The sequence below is a fragment of the Homo sapiens genome, chromosome 7 (genome assembly GCF_000001405.40).
Source record: "Homo sapiens chromosome 7, GRCh38.p14 Primary Assembly".
In the NCBI taxonomy this organism is placed as follows: domain Eukaryota; kingdom Metazoa; phylum Chordata; class Mammalia; order Primates; family Hominidae; genus Homo; species Homo sapiens.
In genome coordinates, this window is record NC_000007.14 from 19,717,848 (window position 1) to 19,732,595 (window position 14,748).

Consider the following 14,748-nt stretch of genomic DNA (forward strand, 5'->3'; position numbering starts at 1 on the left):
TTTTTTTTTTTTTTTTTTTTTTTGAGAAAGAGACTTGCTCTGTCACCAGGCTGGAGTGCAGTGGTGCTGTCTTGGCTCACTGCAACCTCCACTTCCCAGGTTCAAGTGATTCTCCTGCCTCAGCCTCCCGAGTAGGGGGGACTACAGGCGCATGCCACCACGCCCAGCTAATTTTTGTATTTTTAGTAGAGATGGGGTTTCACCATTCTTTTTTACTCCCTTTGCCAGGAAAACAATTTATTGAATACAAGAGTCCTTTATTAGGAATGCAAATGCATTTCACAAGTAATATATTGCTTAAAAACCAAGCTATAGCTTTAATAAAATTATTTCACCATGTTGGCCAGGATGGTCTCTATTTCTTGACCTTGTGATTCACTCACCTCAGCCTCCCAAAGTGCTGAGATTACAGGCGTAAGCTACCACGCCCTGCCCAGTTCATGGATTTATAATTGGTGCATCACCTTTCAAATTCCATGGAGTATTTACTAACTCTTTTCATATTTTCAATTGTAATGATAATTGGTTAATTGTGCAAGAACTTGTACAAGGACTGAAGGAAATGGGAAGTTCCTATGTGCTTTTGACTAGCATTATCTAATGGATCTTTCTGAAATGATGGGGATATTCTGTAACTGTTGCCCATATATGTCTGTTTGACACTTTGAATATGGCTAGTTTGATGGAGAAACTGAAAAACAAAAATATTCTTTTGTTTTAATTAATTTATATTTAGATTTAAATAGTCACATGTGGATAGTGGCTACCATATTAGACAGTGTAGGTAGACCTTAGAACAGTGAGTTTATGACCTTGAGCAATTCAAGTCTTCACTTATAGGTAGCATTAAAATTGGCTGCTCTGGATTACGTTCAAAGGATTTCCTCAGTCATTCTTAACTGGCTAATATCTCCCTACCAAAGAAACAGGTAAACATTTGTTAGGACATTTTTGGTTATTAAAATGATAAGAGTGTCCTCCTGGGATTTAGTGGGTAGAGATGAGAGATGCTAAATGGCCTGAAATGTGTGGGACAGTCTGCATAATAAGTTATTATTCAGCCCAAATGCCAGTAACAACCAATTTGACAAACTCAAGTAGGCCTTCAGGGTTCTCTAAATATTGTGGTTTAATTTGTGACATCACCTGCAGTCTCTGTCCTACCATAGTAAATTCTGTCTCATATGATCTGTGTCTTATTTTCTCTTGCCCTCAGGGACTTCACATTCTTATTATAATCATTTTGTTTGATGGCTTCAACCAGTCTCTCTCTATACTTGAACATATTCTAGCTTTTGTATCTCAAATAATATTCTTATTTAATTCTGTATCCTTCGTCTGTGACTGTCTCTTTCCCCTCATTCACAGCAGGCCATCCCTTGCCACTCTCAGAATAGCATATTTATTCATGTAGCTATTGGGGAAGGTATTTCTGTATTATAATGAAAAGAAAGCCAACACCATATATAGTTTCAAAGCACATCATTTTATTATAGACATGTCAGTAGAGTTATCATTTCCTGTTCCACTTCCAAACCATTGTGTGTGTGTATATACACATATGTGTATGTATATGCATATATATACACACATACACATATATGTTTAAAATTTCCAAAGCGAGCCCAATTTTATTCTTTTATGCTTATAATACTCTACCTATTTGATATGGTCCAAAGTATACCACCACTCCAGTTTCACATAGTTTTTCTAATTTAGTATCACCTTACTTTCTTCCAAGGGTAGGCTCATACTAAAACTATAAGGTAGTCACTTAAAACATTCCAGCATGTGGTTCAATGTATTGTCCAAATTAAAGTTTCAAGCACTTGAACAATGTCTTCCTAACATCCCCCACTTATCTAAAAAAGAATCGCCGCACATCCCAAGTAAATCATTCTAAACTCAATTCTGAAAATACTAGGTAGAAATAATCATATTTAAAAATATATCTATACTTGGTTAAACATACACTGTAAACTATTTGAATAATTGTGATGATGGCATCTCTTTTTAACTATACATCAAAGCAGTGATATGTCTCCTTTTGTCCTTTAATGTGTTATGTTATAGATCAGTTCAAAAGGCATTACAACATTTTTCTGATGTATTATAATTTTGTATTGAACAAGCATGTTTATAGAGAAATGCTACTGAAAATTAGAGTCAGTGTTTATTCTTTCAGTACAAAACTACATCCTTGCATGAATTCAGGAGGACCATACACACACAAATATCTTCATGATGTAATTTAGATTTTCATTGGCAAAGATCATGCCTGTTTGTGGCATTGAATGAATAGTTATGATGTTGATTCACTATATGAGGTTGCATTTATGGACAACTTCTGTAATCTACTAGGCAATGAAGTTATCCAAAGGAATTGGGAGACTTCAAAAAGTGCACCAAACAAGCAGAGTCCAGTTATTTCTGTTGAATAGATGACAGCCAGAATTTTAAGTGAGCTGATTTAAATAGGTTAAACGATGATCATGTTGCTATAAAAGACCTTCAAATTTTCATTAACTTGAATGATCATTACTGTGTTAGCACAATTAAAACTCATGTTTTGTTTATAAATTATATTCTCATACTGAACAGTAAATATTTTAATTTACCTATGGTTCAACAAGTAACTCATAAAAAATGACTTGAAAATTGATTAGATTTGAGGAAAAAGAAAAGTATACAATATAGTGAGAGTTATGTATTTAAAAATGATAGATTTCTTTGTCTGTTGCCAGAGGTTATATTCTGATAAATATATTCAGATATATGTTGTTTTTTCACTTATATGTGTTGTTCTTGTTTGCTATTTTAACATTCCATTATTAGAGGAAAGGATTGAATCTAGCTATACAAATGTTAGCCTATCTTTTCACTTTTTCCTCAAAGAATTCTTTCAGGATCTTTGGATATAGGCTTTCTTATATATGGACTGCCTATATTATTTCATGAGAATCGTAAAACAAAACACCTAAATTAGATTACAGCAAAGGTAATTATAACTTCATTGTTGGGGGGTTACATCATCTGCCCTTTTGTATCATTTAACTGGACTGCAAGGTGTTTGAAATATCAATATCATCAATAATTTTAAGTCATGATATCTTTATAAATACGGAAGTATGTCATTAAAGTCATGTTCGTTTATAAATTAATTTTAATTGCTATACATAAATACTATAATCATAGTGAAATAGTCAAATAAGTAGTCTATCTGTATACTACACTATTCAGATCACTCATCTTCATAAATATCACCCACAATGATATTTACACAAAACCTAATTAAAAGAAGAAAAATGGGCAATTTTAGTAGAAATTAAACATGTGATTTTGTGGGCATAGAAGGGCCTTGAGCAATTGCCTTCCCATTTCTATTGGAGTAGAATCTTAATAATACCCCCACAGCATCACAATTTCTTTTCTAATACCTATTTACATTCATGTATGCTATAATATATGCTGTATACATGTTCTATATTTACAGTATGTATACACACATTCACACACATACTTTATTCTTAGGCTCATTCATGAACATGCAGATCAATCTGCACAGTATGATCAAAACATGTTTATTTTCTTAAATGATATTCACATATAACTTTTCACTCTTTGTGCAAAAATGCAAAAATACCATATAGATTAGTATTCTCTCTCTCTAAAAAGTCTCTTTTTTATGCTTGAGGTTTTTTGTCATTTACAAATAAATTATGAAATATATTTCATTCACAAGTTGAAAATAATTACAATGTTTTTATAACAAGGCATTACTGAGGTTTTGAATTGTAGCATCCTTGAAGCCATCTGTCTTTCAGAACAAAGACGTCAATAAGTTATTTTTATTTCTTGATATTTGCACTTTTCAATTACTCATATGAAATATGTCATTACAAATATAATAATCATGCTAGTCAAATAGTGTTTGTATAGAATATGCATTTTATTTCTGTTTTATTATCTCTTTTTCCTGAAAAGTCTTCTTTAGAACAATCTGGAAAGCCTCTTGAAATTATTGTACTAGAATGTTTCTGGAAAGTTTTTTACCCCATAAAAAAGGGTGGAGAAACCAGTGAGGCAATATATTTTTTAGGAAGAATAATTTTAGTGGATGCTCAGGAGAGATAAATGCAAATGCAAAAACTGTTTTATTTTCTAGTCCTTTGGTGTCTCATTGCCTCATGAAAATCCTAAAAAGTGTTCAATTCTTTAAAACATTGATTACACTCTTCCATTAAATATCAGCTGTGGTCCTCCATTGCTCATGTTGTCTGTTATTTCCTGTTAGAAAAATGACATGATTAATTAAAATTCGCTTTTGGAGTAAGACATTGTTTTGGTTAATGAGTTTGCAAAACAGAAATTTCAATCCATTGAAAAACTTGCTAAGTTTTGGGGAAAGACAAGGATATTGCTGTTATATTTGAGGAAATAAAATTTCATGGCATCTTGGAGCACATGCAAATGCCAAAGTAAGAGTCAGTTAGACCAAAATATTCTCTCCACAACAACGGTCCATTCTCTCCCCACTTTCCTGAGTTTCCTCTTTCTTTCTTCAACTCAATTTTGGAAAGACCTCACCTAGAAAGAAGAAGATGGTTAAATGCGCAAGTTTTTCTAATGCATAGACTCTGCTGAGCATGTCAACAAAGTGCCAATGCATTCTAGAGGTGACCTTTATTCTACAGGAAAATGTGTGGCCTTTTTGCTAAGAACAGAAAAAGGCCTACGAGGGCATCATTGCTCATTTGTAACTATGGATCACTAAAAAATCATAGTGGGAAAGATTGTTTTTCATGACACTATCACTCTTCCAGTAAGAAGCAAAAACAGTGAAGTCTCTTAACATGTTTTTAATGGATCAATTACTAAAAAGTTAATAAGTAAAACTATATAGAAAAGCACTGAAAATATAGATGCAAAGGACAAACTAGCATTGAAAGTTTCATTTTCAATTATATGAAATACATTATGAAAAATTTTGATGCTTTTAATTCATATGTTTTGTTAAATATTAAACCCTTCCCAACACAATAAAAAGTGATAGGATATGAAGCCCATTCATATTTTAATGGTTAGAGCACCATAGTAAAATTATGTTGATAAAATTATCTAAAAATAAATTGGCAGCATCTTTCCATGCTTGAACAAGCCTATTTGCAACAGAGCAGAAAAAAAAAATTAGAAGTGGAAATTATTTTCTCAATTATTTTATTTCTATATCTATTTCTATCTAGCTCTGTTTGGAGAATCTGCTAGAGATGTACATGGTGAAAGTCTCCTAGAGAGGTATGTGATGAAAAATCTGAAAATATATTAGGGTTATGTGCTGGAGTTAAGTTTATAGCTCAGAAATCTGATTTGAGGCTTCATTGAGGAACTCACCATTGATGGCAAAATAGGTAGAATCACCCCCCACCCCCAATGATCTTCAACAAAATTTACTTTTCCTGTTTTACCTACTAGGAGAAAAATCAAATTTCTAATAAATTTACATAAACCCGTTAGGTGCCTTTTCTCCTTCTACAATGACTTTCCACTCAAAAACTGCTTAGAAATGATAAAAAGTGAATCTGTTATATTAACCTTTTATTGCAGAATTTAGTAAAACAATTTTTTAAAATGTTACAAAAAAAGAATTTTCTTAACTGAATTCACTCTACCATAAACACAGTAAAATCACTGATAGGAAAGAAGAGTGAAAATTCGTTTTAAAATGAGTGAGTCTCCAGTTTGCAAAAAAATTTGCAAATAGGCATGCTTAATTTAATAGGAAGATTGTGGTTTAAATTTGGGCTGGACCAATGTGACTATTTGCAAATGGGCTTTCTGCAAATGGGCCATAGTATCCATGTGACTTTCTGTCTGTCCAATTACTTTGTTTGAGCAAACCAAGAACCATTACTATTTATTTTTAGCAATTTGAAACGTGGGAACTAAATTTAAAATGCATCACATAAGATAATTTTACAAGAAGAATCTTTTCATACCAAAATTTTACCGTATTAGTGTCCAACTTTGGCCATCTTCTCACGCAATTTTAGCATGAGGAAAATACACAGTTTGTCTTTATCCAGACATATCTATTATTAAAAACAAAACTCTGGCCCATGAATGATTATACTGAGTCAGAACCATGAAGTAGCAGACAATAAAAGGAGTCATGAATCATCCAAGCAGAAATGTGTTTGGATGCTTATAGGCGGGCTGAGTATTTTACATACTCAACCAACTTTCAAGCTGCAAGACTCGGCCATGTAGGTTTATGTCAGCTCTGCAAAGTAAGCGCTTACGAAAGCGATACTTTGAGAAACAACATTAAACAACATCAGTTCAGACTGATCTGTTGACATCATGGCTTTCTGGAAGGGGAAGTGCTTTCTGCAGCGACATTACAACATGGTAACTCCCTAGAAATCAGCGTACCTTGTAGGTAACTCTGGTGTCGGGGGCACCACCGGGCAGCTGGGCAAGTCGGTTATTTCAATAGCCCTCAATCTCTAATGTAAATATAACAATCATACAATAAATATTGCACAAATATATACAGAAAACTAAATCAGACTAGTATAAAATAAAGCACAAAAGAGCCACTATTCATATATACATATAAAATGGTCATCTATTTTTAACAATCATTTCTTTAAATTACTGGAGTCTTGCTATGTATATTATTAACTGTTTCATGAAGGACATGCATAGCTGTGTTTAAAATTGCTTTCTTGAGTCAATTTGAGAACACTTGCTCTCCTTATTTGAATGTATAGATTGTACACAAAATGGAAACGCTACAGAATAAATATTTTTCCTTCAAAATAACATTATAAAGAGATGTGCAGTAAGTCTTGCTATTATCACTTCTCCTCTGTGCTTATGCAATTTTATTTCCATGATATGAAGCAAAATATAATGTGGCCATTACCTTAGTGAGTTTATTTTACAAATGTTTCCTCTCTTCTCTACTAGATCCAGTAGGAGAAACCGAATTAAGGAATATGTGCAAAATGTAATAGAAACACAGACATCATACTATACCATTTGTCCTTTTATACAATTAATTTAACTTCCTATTTATATGGGTTTCATGAAACAATTATGCAAGGACAACTGTTTAAAATACAGGCAAAGCTCTCCAAATATGCATAAGTTTAGATGAGAATTAAATGAAGCTTTATATGGACTGTAATATCTGCACTGATAGACAAGGCTTTTTGTCACCTTATTAAAAAGCCCCTTTATACTTGAAGATCAAATTTACATAATCAAATGCATCTCCTTAATAGAACAAGGGAAGAGCTAGAAAAGGGAATTCATGCAATTTCTAAAACTGGCATTATTGAGTGGAGAGTGTATTTAGTATCTGTGTTTTTCCTCAGTATAATACATAAAAATCCATATTTATAGGGTATTCAATATTTTATGAAATACTATTTTAAGCACTGTGTTTTTGAATAGACAGACTACAAAATGTTGTTGAAAATAGGTGTACCCATGAATTGCAGAGAAAAATAAAATAAAATTTCTATTCTTAACCCAATAGAGCCAAATGTATAAAATCTGATTCCTCAAATTGTGATCTAAAGTTTCAAGTTGATTCACCCAGAGTGGACTTCAGTCTTCATCATGTGCTAGCAGTGAGAGGAAAAGGTACAAAACTCACTTTCTCAGCCATTTCATGAGAGTGATGCAGGGAATGCTCCCTTTCTGAGAACATCCTCCTCTGTTCATAACTGGCTAGTCGACAAGTGAGCCAGGAAGAGAGAGTGCAGCCCCCGATCCCAATGCACGCGAGAGACATGGAGGCAAGGTGCAGTGGGTATAGGGAGGAAGTTTTCTTTGTGACTGCCCGGAGGAACTGAAAATTCAGGATGCCCCCAATAAGTCCACAGATACAGCAGGCTGAAAAGAGGATCATCTGATAAGAAAAAGAAAGGCAGCGTTAAAGTTGAAAAGGCAAACCTGACCAGAACACAGTTGCCCTGTCCGGCTGCATGTCAAGGATGACTAGCCTACAATAAAGAAGAATAAGCGGTTTTGGTGCTTCACAGAGGACAGGAGATTTTTTTTTTACATTTTATTTTTGCCAAGTTTCTATTCACTCTGACTCACAGTAGACAGAGGGAGTATACCACAGTGTTTCAGAAATTGATAGCTGACTATATTAAAGCCAAGGATATAGCTTATGAAAACTCTGAAGCAAACAAAATTTATCGTCTAGGTAGATTCAGATTTAAATATTTATTTAACATCTACCGTGTGCTACCATGCTAGGAACTTTAACAAATATCATCTCAATTGACACTCCCAGCAAGCCTCTGAGATAGTAACATACGTTTTAGAAAAATGAATGGTCAATAGCTAACACTAAATTTAGGCACCAAACCCAGATTTTTCTGATTCCAAATCTACTTTCACTGTGTCAGTCCTTCAAAAATATCTCAATAGCTTCTCTTTGGATTGTCATTAGTTCCACCTAACTTCAAATCTTTATATCTTCCTACCTATGTGAGCTTAGGAAATTTAGTTAAATCTCTTTTTTTAAAAAAAAGTTCACTCATATTTCATTGTGCATGTATTTCCTAAGCAAGTACTTTAGGGACTCCTATGAACTGACCCCTATATATTACAAATATTTTATTACTTTGTGGCACTATCATCATTGAAGAATATACAATAGGCGTTCCAAAAATACTGTTCGTTTGTTCGTTTTAGAGAAACAGATGATGTGGCTTTGCTTTTGGTCCTACTATTGGTTGAATCTCGGTGTCTATTAATAGAGCTAGGGGGGTTTAATCAACAACTATCATAGGATCCCTGGCAGAACCAAGAATAATGCTTTCTGAGAAGTAAGTACTTTGTGAATATTTAATAAATTTAATTAACTAGTCAAATAACTTTAATAATTATATTTTCTTTTTGCATCTGGTCTAAATTCTTCTATGGGCTTTCATGATACTTTGTACTATGATACTAATTGAATTATGCAATCTAATTTCCATTCTTCTCGGGAACACAGACTTATTCCAGTCACCTCTCTTGTCCTTCAATATGGGTTACTCATTCCCACATCAGTGACATTTTTCATTTCCTGGAAATAATTTTGCTTCTTCCTTAGACTCATGGATGAAAGGCACAAATTAAGTCCTAACTTGGACTTTATTGATCTCCTCCTTTGTTGTAATTCCCCAGGTCAAACAGCTTTGTAACTCACTTTAACATTTAATTTTATTTTATCAGATATTATTTTTCATTGACGGTTGAGTTTAGCCTGCACTTATTGAGCACTTAGCATCTGTTAGCCCCTGAGTGCAGCAGCTGCTGGCATTACAATCAATCATTCATAATAATTCCTCTTGAGAATAGTTAAATCTTGTGAAAGAGAAGATCCAGAATTTTAACATGGCATGATAAGTATTAAGAAAGGGATACATGTGTTGCCCTAGGAGTAGGGAGGAGAAGAATTTAGCCCAGCCAAGATTTTTGGAGAAGGCTTTCTTGAGAATATGTCAGGTCAGTAACTACAAGTAGTTAATTTCATTTCTTCAACTTAATTCAGCATTCCTTATTGCATCTGTAAATATCATCAGAGCTAAAAATCCAATAATGAACGGGTAAAATCTTTTTATACTTGATTAAATATAATACTGAAGATCAGTTACCAAATAATTAAATCATCCTACTAAGTGTAAACTTGTAGCTCAAGATGCCTAGTAGAATTAACCAATTATATTTTATTTTAAAGTAGATTTGGATGTCATGCTGTTCTTTGGGGATATATTTTGGTGTTTACTCATTCTCTGAAAATACGGAAAGATATTAAAATCTAGCTTCAAATAATTAATTATTGTTATAGAGAAAGCAGACAATACCTTTAGTTTTCTGTTACAGGAAAGCCCATGTCTTTGCTGATGTCATTCTGATTAATTCTTTAAAGGCATGACACCTCATTAACATGTGTTAACAAAACAATCTTATCCAGGAATTAAAATGTTTAAATCTGTAACCATATACTATTTTCAAATTTCACCAGGTTGGAGACTCTAGACTGCAGATATATTTGGAGTGAAATTTTTTTTTAATTTCATTAAAATGTAGAAAATATTGATAGTTAAATGCCATCAATGGGGACCTTAGAAAGTACACAGGATAATGTACCTTCTAATAGTAGGTACAGCTACCACCTGGGCGGTAGTTTCTTAAAAAAATCAGATTTCATCATTTTTTTCCTTGTAATTTATAAGAGAAAGACAGAGAAGTGCCACTATTGCCTTTGTATAAAACAACAACAACAAAAAGCCTCTTCCTTCCTTTTTTATTTTTTCCTTCCCTCCCTCCTCTTTCTTTCTCTCTCTCTTTTTTCTCTTTCTCTTTCCTTTTGTCATGCTTCCTTGCTTGTTTACTTGCTTTCTCCCAAGGAGTTGTTCCTACATAGTCATAAAGAGTCTTCGTAGAGGAAGGGCATAAGGAGAATGAAGACCATGTGTAAAAAATGATGGGAGAATCATAAATGCAAGTTACAAGCCTGAAAAAATACATTTTTTTCTAAAGGTTTCATTTTTCCCTTTATGTAATTTTTAAAAATTACATCTAAAATTGCTGTCTAAAGCAGTGAGGGCTTTAGCCTTTTTGCCATAATAGATGTTCTCACGAAGAAAGATGTGATTAGAAAAAGGGGTCAAATAAAAATAACTGCAATGCTTCCCATTCCCTGATCTGCTCAGATAACTGGCCTCACCTTGGAAAACTCTCTTTAGGCTCAAAGGGTACTTCCTAGGGTCCCTGTGTAGTATTAATTTTGCCAATTTGTGTCTATGTTCTTTCCCATAATACTTGGTAAAATAAACCACACTTTTTCCTTATTTCCAAACCCTTATGAAAAATCATGAAAGGCGATGGGGAATCCACACTTCAGCATGCAGTGTGGCTCATCCAGCCAATATCAGAGCTAACTGGGAGTGTGTTCCATACCCCAGAAACCCACTATAGTACCATAAAACATCTGAAAACACTTATGTGTGCATTCACAGTAATAAAAGAAAATAAAATAAATCTCTGAGAATTAAACTGTAACCATAGCAACACAGCTGTCTTGCTGCTTCGCAAAACTTGCTTCACAGTCAAAGAAAGCCAATAATCCTTAGGCCCAGTTCCATATTTAAATGGTTACATTTCTCATGGGCTGAAGCTTTATCTACTTGAGCTTACTGAAGGATTCAGGCGATTGTCTGGCAGTCTCCAGATTGGAAAACTAGAGACTGTCATCCGTAGCAGTCATTAAAGGTTGCATATTCAGATATTTAAAGAGTTTATTAAAGTTTTTTTACATCGGTGGGCTTTTGTCATAGTTTCTAATAATTTTGATGGTTTTCTTTGAAAACAGAAAAGGCAGGATTTATTTGTCAGTTTTTTTTTTTTTTGCCTCAAACTAGCAATATTCAGTATATGAAAGCTGGCTAGCCATCATTTCTATTTTAGAATTTTACGTTTCATACACCTCAATGCACAATACAAACAAATCAAACACTTACGACAAGTCCTGATTTTTTTTTGGCACACAATATTCCACAAATGCCACAAAGAAGAAACTGAAAAGGAAAAGAAGAACAATTACTCCTTATCCAAAGACACGAGGACCCCTAGATTTTAGCTTGTAGTTCACTCATGACACTTTCTCCAGGGAAGATAGAACATTTTAAATTTCCTTCAAAACCTGGAGAGGATAAGATCTCATTCTAGAATAGTAAAGGATAAAAGTATAAACCCTAATAAAAATTTATTTTTTGCTAGATTGTTAGAGGTAATTGAATCAGTTTTAGCATCAGGTAAAATTATTAAGTAAATGAATTTAGAGCTTTGTTTCTCCCATTTCTTTTCACCGTCTGATTCCTTTCTACTTTCTCAGGGAGAAAAGTGGTGTGATACATTCATTCACACTTAACAACTAGAAATCAGTAAGTTATACTACAGGAAAGAATCTGCACAAATCAAAAGATAATGCATCAGACAAGGAGATGATTCTCTATAGAGATACTCTTTGTACCACTCCAATTGGTACAATGACAACCTCCTTATTCTACAAGAAACTGGCCTTATGGATATGTCAGAAGAACACAAAGAGATAGGCTGGGCGCGGTGGCTCACACCTGTAATCCCAGTACTTTGGGAGGTCATGGTGGACGGATCACAAGGTCAGGAGATCGAGACCATCCTGGCTAACACGGTGAAACCCCGTCTCTACTAAAAATACAAAAAATTAGCCGGGCGTGGTGGCAGGCGCCTATGATCCCAGCTATTCCGGAGGCTGAGGCAGGAGAATGGCGTGAACCTGGGAGGCGAGGCTTGCAGTGAGCCAAGATCGCGCCACTGCATTCCAGCCTGGGTGACGGAGCAAGACTCCGTCTCAAAAAAGAAAAAAAAAAAAAAGAACACAAAGGGATAAAGCAATTGATAGCATATTATTTCTTGTAAATAAAACATTGTTGACATAATTGCTTTGCAAAGGCAGTCACATCAGATTATCTACCAAGGAGAGACTATTAGATATTTTAGTAATCATAAAATGATAAATAGTTTAATTTGAATAGAAACAGTTCCATTTGAATGCAAGTTTTCACATACTTCTAACTTGAAATAGCTATATAAAATATTCATTAAGAAGTAAGAAGTCCACTAAAGGACTTCAGATTTGTAAAGAAAATTTTTATTCGCAAAGAGAACTAGTTTTCACTGTTGTCGTTGTTGTTTAATTATCTGAAGTCAGAACTAACAATATAGCTTGTTTCACTAAATATTTGACACCTGGATAGATTTATTTCCAAATACATATCAAAATATACTAAGGATTATCTGAGATAATATGCATGTGAGAAGTACCAAGAAAATCTGTTAAAAAGCAATAAGTAAGGGAAGTTGTTGCAAAGAAACTTTTCCTATAAGGGAGCAGAATGATTATTATGCAGGCAGTGGGGCAGCAAGAAGAAATAGGGAACACAGAATATATAAGAATTTGGTATATAATTTAGATGACCTTTCATATTAATGGAAAGGAAAGGATTATTTGCCCAATAAATAGAGCTAGAATAATGTGTTAACGTTCCCTAACATACACCAAAATTAATGTAAAATTGAGTATTTATACAAAAATGCTTAAATGCATTGGGAGACAACAAAGTTAAATATTTATATAATTTTAGAGGACTGGAAAGGATTTTCTAAATGTAGCACCAAAGTAATAAACCAAAGTAGAAAGTATTTATTAATAGAAAAAATTTAATTTTGACGGTCAAAAACATAACACTCAAAGGCAAAAAATGTTGGGATTATATTCGGAAAGTATATGATAGCCAAATAGTTAACATACTTTAGAAATAGATCTAATAAAATATTTTTAGTATTATAAAACCATGAGAAGATAGAAACTCAGAACTTTATAAAACCTGAATACTTGCATAATTTTCAGTAGCCTTAAAAAGCTATTTCAGAGTGACCGTTTCTCACCACCCACTGTGTCCTAAGTGTAGATGATCATGTCCTCTTATGGACTCTTTCTGTTACTAATTTCATCTCACATTTTTGAAGGCAGTGCTCAAGAAATTCCAGTTTGGACCAATTCTGTACCTTTCAGTGCTTCAAGCTTCAGATCAAAGCTCAAGCATACTCTTCTCCTTAAGTTTCCCTGACTACCCCATTTTCATCCTGAAAGTCCCATTTATCCAGAACTCATTCGAAAAGAATTTGAAAGCAGTGTAGTTTTGTGTTCCTTGCATCTGTTTTGAAATCTGTAAACACTGCCATTATTCATTTACAGTAAAGCCCAAGAGGTGGTCAGGAGCATAAGCAGAGTTCTCCATCCAACCATTTGGTTAGAACATCTAGGTGGCAATAAATTTGCTATTTTGTATTATCTCACTTCAATTGGATGGAGCTAAGAAATGTGAATTCAAGGATTGGGAGAGGGAAGGGAGAGTAGGGGAGGAATCAATCAATATTTTTTCTACTTTCAGCAGATGAATGTAAATACTCTCCAACTGTTACTTCTGTTAGAGTATCCAAAATCACATGTCCTAGAGAAAAGCTGTAACCTGAGAAAAAGTGGACACATGTAACAGGAAGTATATGAAATCATGGGATTTATGAGGAGGATCTAAAAGATCTTGGTTGAAATTTAGCCACCACAGTTTATAGAAAAGAGAAAAAGAGGCCCCCAAAGTAGTAAATTGATATTTTATTTCATTGGCTATCTTTATTTACCACAAGTCATAATACTGGAAGAGATCTTAAAAGATGATTTAATTAATCCCTCGAAGTTTACACGTGGGGACATGGTCCAGAGAGGTCCAGAGAGTTAGTGACTTGCTCAAGGTAACACATCAAGGTCAGAAATCACACATCTAATTTAAGACTTTATTAAGTGTCTAAATTAATTTGTTTTTAATAATGGGCTGGGCATGGTGGCTCACACCTGTAACCCCAGCATGTTGGGAGGCTGAGGTGGGCGGATCACAAGGTCAGGAGTTTGAGACCAGCCTGGCCAATATGGTGAAACTCCGTCTCTACTAAAAATACAAAAATTAGCCGGGCGTGGTTGCAGTCACCTGTAGTCGCAGCTACTCTGGAGGGGGAGGCAGCAGAATCACTTGAACCCAGGAGGCGGAGCTTGCAGTGAGCCGAGATCGCATCACTGCACTCCAGCCTGGGTGACAGATCAAGACTCCATCTCAAAAAAAAAAAACAAAAAAAAAA

At 34.2% G+C, this 14,748-nt stretch overlaps 1 protein-coding gene and 1 long non-coding RNA gene across 9 annotated transcripts in view; one reads left to right on the forward strand and one right to left on the reverse strand.

The window, feature by feature from the left end:
* Positions 1-1,467: 1,467 nt before the first annotated feature.
* Positions 1,468-14,748, reverse strand: part of TMEM196 (transmembrane protein 196) — a 54,303-nt gene continuing 41,022 nt past the window's right edge. For 3 of the 8 annotated variants that reach the window (NM_001366627.1, NM_001363562.2, NM_001366625.1), the window contains exons 2-5: positions 11,535-11,591; positions 7,667-7,921; positions 6,433-6,506; positions 1,468-4,287 (exon numbers count right to left, since the gene is read on the reverse strand). In NM_001366627.1, the coding sequence (NP_001353556.1) occupies positions 4,281-4,287; positions 6,433-6,506; positions 7,667-7,921 (336 nt within the window). In that variant the 5' untranslated portion in view covers positions 11,535-11,591 and the 3' untranslated portion in view covers positions 1,468-4,280. Of the gene's footprint in view, positions 4,288-6,368; positions 6,507-7,666; positions 7,922-11,534; positions 11,592-14,748 lie in introns of those variants that run through there. The other 5 variants (NM_001366628.1, NM_001366626.1, NM_152774.3 and 2 more) reach the window with 2 other exon arrangements.
* The window catches only part of LOC107986774 (uncharacterized), a 92,330-nt gene continuing 81,752 nt past the window's right edge, over positions 4,171-14,748 (forward strand). The window contains exon 1 of the long non-coding RNA XR_001745112.2: positions 4,171-5,295. This is a non-coding gene — a long non-coding RNA (uncharacterized LOC107986774). The remainder of the gene's footprint in view (positions 5,296-14,748) is intronic.